General features: G+C 40.0%; 2 annotated features.

Moving 5' to 3' along the window:
- Positions 2,002–2,186: a silencer, noted in NCBI's record as "fragment chr17:54047027-54047211 (GRCh37/hg19 assembly coordinates)". NCBI's record gives its function as "represses an EF-1alpha promoter that drives an FKBP-Casp9 reporter gene in an ReSE screen in HepG2 liver carcinoma cells {active_cell/tissue: HepG2}" and the evidence as "EXISTENCE:reporter gene assay evidence [ECO:0000049][PMID:32094911]".
- Positions 2,283–2,974: an enhancer, noted in NCBI's record as "OCT4-NANOG hESC enhancer chr17:54047308-54047999 (GRCh37/hg19 assembly coordinates)". NCBI's record gives its function as "activates a minimal SCP1, AML or CMV promoter by ChIP-STARR-seq in naive H9 embryonic stem cells {active_cell/tissue: H9 hESC(naive)}" and the evidence as "EXISTENCE:reporter gene assay evidence [ECO:0000049][PMID:30033119]".

Below are 7,197 nucleotides of genomic sequence, written 5' to 3' on the forward strand. Positions count from 1 at the left end.
CTGGCAGCACAGGTCAGACTACTGGGGAATGTTTAGCTCCTGAATAGTCTCTTGCTCCTTCTTGGATATCTTTTATATTAATCTCCTCTCTCAAAGCAGTAAGCCTTGTGTTTACATGGATGGACAAATTTCTGGATGTGTATATATATTAAATATATATACTTTCTTTTTTTTGAGACGGAGTTTCAATCTTGTTGCCCAGGCTGAAGTACAGTGGTACGATCGTGGCCCACCACAACCTCTGCCTCCCGGGTTCAAGCTATTCTCCTGCCTCAGCCTCCTGAGTAGCTGGGATTACAGGCATCTGCCACCAGGCCTGGCTAATTTTTTTGTGTTTTTAGTTAGAGACAGGGTTTCTCCATGTTGGTCAGGCTGGTCTTGAACTCCCGACCTCAGGTGATCTGCCCACCTTGGCCTCCCGAAGTGCTGGGATTACAGGTGTGAGCCATCGTGCCCAGCATATATATATATACATTTAATAATATCCACCAACTATCAGCTTTGAAAAGCTTAAGATCAATAAGAGAAAAGGATTGATGAGCTGATTTTGTGTATCTCTCTCCCCCTTCATTCTCCTTCCTCCTGGGAGTTTGATCCCCTTTCCACTTCCTCTCTTAACATTTTTATGGACTAGAGATGCAATCTTAAGTGAAAAGTTTATTTTTTTTCTTTTCCAATGCCATCCAATAAAAGTATGCCCAACTACAGTGGTCGGGAAACTGAGGCATAGATAAAATGTAGGGGAGTTCTTGCTAACCTTGTATACACAGGGAGCTCACACAAATTCATGCTAGATGATTTGAGATTAGTGATGGAGTCTTGTATATATCCAGGCTGTATGTTGCATATCTTCCCAGAATCAGACACTTCAACACCATCTTAAATGTAAAACCGAGGTGATATGTCTGAGCTAACCATGCCTCTTCCCAAACACATACACATGATCTACATAGTATGTTTTATCATAGACTTTTCTAGGCACTTGGGATTTGTGAGACCCTGAAGTTTTCTCTTCCAGCATGCTTTCCAATTTCATTATCCTTATGAAAAGTGTTGAGAATTATACTCTACAAACAGATTCTTGAGGAGAGTTCTCATTATCCAGACATCTTAGAGTCTTGTCCTAATTGCTTTTCTTTATATCATAAAACAATCCATTTTGGTGGCTCAGTTCTAGATAAGAATTTGTACAGAAGAACCAGGTTTGGTGTTCAGGGAGGTGACCGTAGGTGGAAAGTTTGGGGAGAATGTATTGACATAGCAACTGAATTCAGCCTGAACCTGAAAGAACTTACAGAAGACTCATTGGGATGATGATTACAACCCCAGACCCACTGACCCACCCAGGCAAAATGGAATACAGGGTGTGTGTGTGTGTGTGTGTGTGTGTGTGTGTGTGTGTGTGTGTGTGTTTTAATTGTCCTAATTCGCCATAGCTAGCCTGTGGTGAGCATCCTCCACTAGGACCTGGAATAACCTTGCTAAACCTTTACCTTAGCTGGCTACCTGTACAGGCATGAATGGTCAGTACTGAAAATCACAAGTGCTGGTTCAAATAAGAATGCTACTTTTTCAAATAGGGATACTATCTTCTACACACCTGATTCATTAGGGATCTGGGGACCATTAATATTTAGTGATAGTGCAGGAAATGAAATGGAAGTGGAAGTTAGTATGATTTGACCTGCTGAGGGCATGAGGCTGGGACTCCTGGGTTAATTCTTGCTGTTTTTTTTTTTTCTAGTATAAGTTTTACTGTGGTTCCATGATTTGTGTCCTTCCCTGTTGGCTCTGCAGGAGCCTGGCTGTCTTTATTTAGTAAATGTATCTTGTAATTCTTAACCCAAGGGCCTCAGATTCCATATGGCATGTTTGAAAGGACAGCATGCACATTATCTCAAATTCTTTTTGCTTTATATTTAAAAATATTATCTTGAAGATCAAAAGTGAAAGCTCTCCTCTCATGTTGAGTCCAGCTGTCCTGTGGAGTCAAGGATAGCCCTGCTCAGCCGTGCTGGGGTGTGGAGACAGAGTGTCCTAAATACATACACAGCAATTTTCCCCCTTCCTGTCCCCACCCTACCTTGCTCTTCAAGTACAGACAGGATGCTATTGACTCACTACAAATGGGAAAGATGATTTGAGGTTTTCAGCATAACTTAGCAAGCATTAAGTAAGCACCTATCATGCCCCAGGCTCTGATTTTAAGTTCAGTGATAGTTTTAAGTTCAAGGAGAGAGTGGTTGGCTAACAAGATGAAGAAGTTGTATTTCAAGAATGTATCCAGTATTTTATTGAGAGATGTTTAAATAAGTGGGATATAAATAACTGGAAAATAGCATGTAATCCACATGTAAGAAAGCAAATTGAAATAAGAGGCATATAGTGGCATTAGCAGCTCCCAGAAGAAGGAGCTGTTAATTCTGCCTGAGGGATCAGAGCGGGATTCTCAGATATGTTAAAATTCATGTAGTTTAAACTGGGTTTTAAATATCCATACAAACATGCATTTCACTCGCATTTACTCAATGCCTAGTAAATGCCAGACAGTGCAGATTTTGAAGGAGTTCTTACCACCAGGGAACATATGGCCTACCTGGCAAGCTGAGTAAATAAACAATTGTGAGAAGAAAGGTTTCTTTTGAATTGTTAATTGTGTTAATAGCCGCCCCCCTCCTTTTCTTAAGCATTACTAGGTGGTAGGCATCATTCATTAACTTTTTCTACTCATAATCTGATTTATAATTCAAAACCATCTCATACATTAGAGTCTACCCTAAGTTTATATCAGAGGAAACTTGTCTAGAGTTGCTTAGCTAGTCAGTGAGACAACCACAGATTGGAGCCTTGAATCCATATCTGTTAGATTCCAAAGCCCACCCTATTAAATATTAAAGAGTTGCCCTCAGGGGACAATGCAAAGTAAAGGAATAAAAAATGGGAAAAACATAGGAAAGTGAAATTACACTACAGCGTCAAGAAGGGGCACTTCCTTTGTAGAAGTTAATTTAGATTATCCTGAGGAATTTTATGTGATATTGGACAGGAAAGACAGGGTTTGATCTTTGAGAACATTGGATGGCATACTAAGAAGTCTCTTTTTTTTTTTTTTTTAACCTTGAGATGGAGTCTCGCTCTGTTGCCTAGGCTGGAGTACAATGGTGTGATCTTGGCTCACTGTAACCTCTGTCTCTTGGGTTCAAGCGATTCTCCTGCCTTAGCCTCCCGAGTAGCTGGGACTACAGGTGCACACCACCACACCCAGCTAAGTTTTGTATTTTTTGTAGAGATGGGATTTCAGTACATTGACCAGGCTGGTCTCAAACTCCTGACCTCAGGTGGTTTGCCCACCTCAGCCTCCCAATGTGCTGGGATTACAGGAGTGAACCACTGCACCCACCCTAATTTATAATTCTATAAATTATGGGTACCCACAGCAGATATATCAGATAGAATGTGACATGAAGGAGTGCATCTTTTTGGAAATATCTCTGGATAGGTAATGAGAATGAGAATGAGAATGGGCTTCCTGGATCCGCCATGTTTTCAAACATATGGCAAAAGTTAGAACTTCAGATTGTGGACTTGAAATTATTTCCTTTTCAGAATAGGTATAAGTGGTCCACCTGAAATTTAACTTTACTTTTAGTAGCTATGCATTCAGGTATGCAAAAAACAAGGTACTTTATTCTTCTAGAATCCTACTTAATCCCTATGTGACAGAAAAGATAGTCTTATTCAATAATTTTTTAAAGGCGTTTTAGGATTAACCTCATTTAAATAAGAATTTACTTCTTTTTTGGGGTGGATCTAAATTGTAAGAGGCTTTCAAAACAGGAAAGGATGGGGAATAGGAGATGGGGAGGTAAGTATCTGATTACTGGTCATTGTTATCTGTTTAGCCTTGCAATATTCTCCACTCTTTGGCCATAAACTGCACCATTCTCAATCTGACTGTCTCCTTACGGCCTTCTAGGCTCCTTCTACCCTTTGCTTCCCTCTCAGGGGAGTTTTCAAACGCTTTTCACATGATTCTGGAGCCATACAAGACTTGGGGGCCTAGGTAGGTTTTGCCAGACCTTGCTGATTTTCCCAGGCTCCAGTGAGAAAGCAAACACAAGTCCCTTCCCTCATTGACCCATCCCAGGACTCAATCCACAGAGAAGAGGCACAATGGAGAGCCCTCCAGACCCAGCTCCAGCTCTCTCTTCTCCTTCCACCCGACTTACCTCCTGAGCTCAGATCTTCACCTAGACTTCTACAGTGATGAGAGTGTTTGTAGGAAAACTAGTTCTCCCTAATGGAATCTTCTGCCAGAAGTGTCTTGTCCTGGTATAATCTGGACCAAACCTTTGATCAAAGCCATAAATGTGATGAATGATGCCCATCTCCTTGAATAAAGGAGACCCATGTGTTAAATAGAGAGTAAAGGTGAAAACACAAGGGTTAACATTTTATAATATTATTCCAACGCTATTAGGAACTTCTTGTAAACCTTAATACTCTGAAGAAAACAACTGGAGATGACTTTCTATCCATAGAGAAATTTGGCCTTAGTAGCCAGGTATTTTTCAAGTTGGCAAATTCTACCTTCTTATTTTCTTTGATCCCCCAACAAGGGTCTCATCTATGATCAAAGCCTTTTTTAAAACAGCAACTAGCATATTCTTGAACGTATAATTAGCTACCATAGTAACTATAAATTCTAATCTTTCTCTGACTTTCCAGACAACCTAAATAGGATGCCGTCACTTTCACCCTACAATTAATACTCCCTGAAGAAATATCTAAGTGTCATGATCTTTTGCTAAATTTGAAGCATGCAAGCAAAAATTCGGTCATTTCCGTCAGCAGTTGCAGTGGTGGCAAATTCATTGAGTTCAGCAAAGTACATGGTCACACAACCTGCGTTAGCAAAAGAAATTAACTAGGAACTTGTGAAGCTGAAAGTTAAGTAACAATTGAAAAAGGCTTTATTTATACTTCAGTAAAAAGAGTTGGAGAACAGAAGGGAATATTTTTTATTTTTTAGTATTATTATTATTACTCTAAATTGTGATTCTAGGTTTGCCTGTTATCACTTTTCAGAGCATTTATCACCAACTTGCAGTGGAATATTGTAAAGATTCATTACAGTTGTGAGAGGGCAGGAAAATAAACTCACATCTCCTGCATATCTGGAAGTGTTTTTTAGGCACTGTGCTGAGCAGTCTACAATGTTATTCTCATTCAATCATAATGATACCTTAGAAGTAGATCCCATCATTCCCATGTTACAGATGGAGAAACCCAGGTTCTCTAAGATGAAGACAATCATCCAGCGTCAATCCTGATAGTAAAAGACAGAAACAATGGCTCAACTGTGGTCTAGATCTGACCAAAGTAGAATGAATTTTTTTCTTATTTTATTTTCCTGAACTGAACTCTGTACAGTCAATGATTCCATGACTTTGACTCACTGAGAAATGCGTCCATCCTAGTGATTAGTGATTTTCCTCTCCCAGAATACATTGATTACACCCAGGACCAAGTTGACTTTTTGTCAGTTAAAGGGGAGACCCTGGCCGGGCACAGTGGCTCATGCCTGTAATCGCAGCACTTCGGGAGGCTGAGGTGGGCGGATCACCTGCGATTGCTAGTTCAAAACCAGCCTGACCAACATGGAGAAACCCTGTCTCTACTAAAAATACAAAAATTAGCGGGGCATGATGGCGCATGCCTGTAATCCCAGCTACTTGGGAGGCTGAGGCAAGGAGAATTGCTTGAACCCAGGAGGCAGAGGTTGCAGTGAGCTGAGATCGCACTATTGCACTCCAGCCTGGGCAACAAGAGCGAAATTCCATCTCAAAAAATGAATAAATAAAAATAAAAATAAAAAAATAAAGGGGAGACCTTTGTTGACTTCTCGTTTCCATTTTGTCTTCCCAGTCCCTTCTCTTCATATTTTTTTTTTTGCATCTAAGAGAAGGTGAAGGAAATGCAAAAACATTTGAGTGCATATTACACTCCAAGCACAACAGTCTAGCAAGCTATGTATTATCAGCATACACTGTATAGATTGAAAAGCTAGGGCTCAGAGAGGTTTTTTAAAAACATGTATCCAATTCTATTTTTTTAAGTACATTTAATGGTGTCAAAAAACAAAGAAAAAACCTTATTCAGGTTTTAATCCAAGATCACCCCGGTAAGATTAGAGCAGGAAGTCAAACCCAGATTTGTCTTCCATCAAAAAACATCTTCTATTTCCACTGTTAATTCTTTGACAAATATTAACGAGAACCTGAGTATGTGCAGAACCTAGGTATAAATTAGTAAATAAAATAGACGCAGTCTTGCTCTCACAGAACCCACTATCTAGTACAGGAAACAGGCAATGCCTAACAAGTAAATAAGTAACTATTATAATATGTACTAATTTGAAAAAGAAAAACTGGGGTATCTCCTTAGACAGGAAATATAGGATACAGTGTGTCATCTATTATGTTTCTAGTTACATTACCTCAAAGGAGAAGCTAGGGAAAACAGGTGGTCTGAGAATTGTGCTGAGGAAGAGGGGTCTGGAAAAAGGAGCCAGGGACAGAATGCAGGGAGGATGTGTGGAGACAGTGTGTGGACAGTGTGTGGAGGCTCCATGACAGTAAAAAAACTTGGTGTGTTTGAGGGACAGAAAGATGTTTTGTTCAGCTGGAAAGGAGTTTCTGGGAAAGAAGGTCATGAGATAAGTTGCAGATACAGGCAGGTGTGGGTCTTAAAGGGAATGGAGGTTATGTAAATAAATTTGGATTCCATTCTAGATTCAGTGAGGAACAAGCAGAAAACAGGATATGATTTTCTTTTGAAATTGGTTATGCTGGCTGTTCCATGATGATAGTATTTGATGGAAGAGTAAGGTGAGCCTGTCTTAGCCAGGAAAGCCAAGATGATGGCTCATGCTAGAGAGGGGATAATAAGTGTGTGTGTGTGTGTGTGTGTGTGTGTGTGTGTGTGTGACTGGCATATATAGTAGGGGAATATATTTACATGTGTGTGTGTGTGTGTGTATGTATATATATGTGTGTGTGTGTGTGTGTGTGTGTATATATATATGTGTGTGTGTGTGTATAGTGGACTCTCTATATAGTATAGAGTATATAAGTAGATGTGAAGGAGGAGGAGCCAAGACTTACAGGGTCTGGCCTGGAGTCTAAGGAGGAATCA

The sequence above is a fragment of the Homo sapiens genome, chromosome 17, assembly GCF_000001405.40.
Source record: "Homo sapiens chromosome 17, GRCh38.p14 Primary Assembly".
Taxonomy (NCBI): domain Eukaryota; kingdom Metazoa; phylum Chordata; class Mammalia; order Primates; family Hominidae; genus Homo; species Homo sapiens.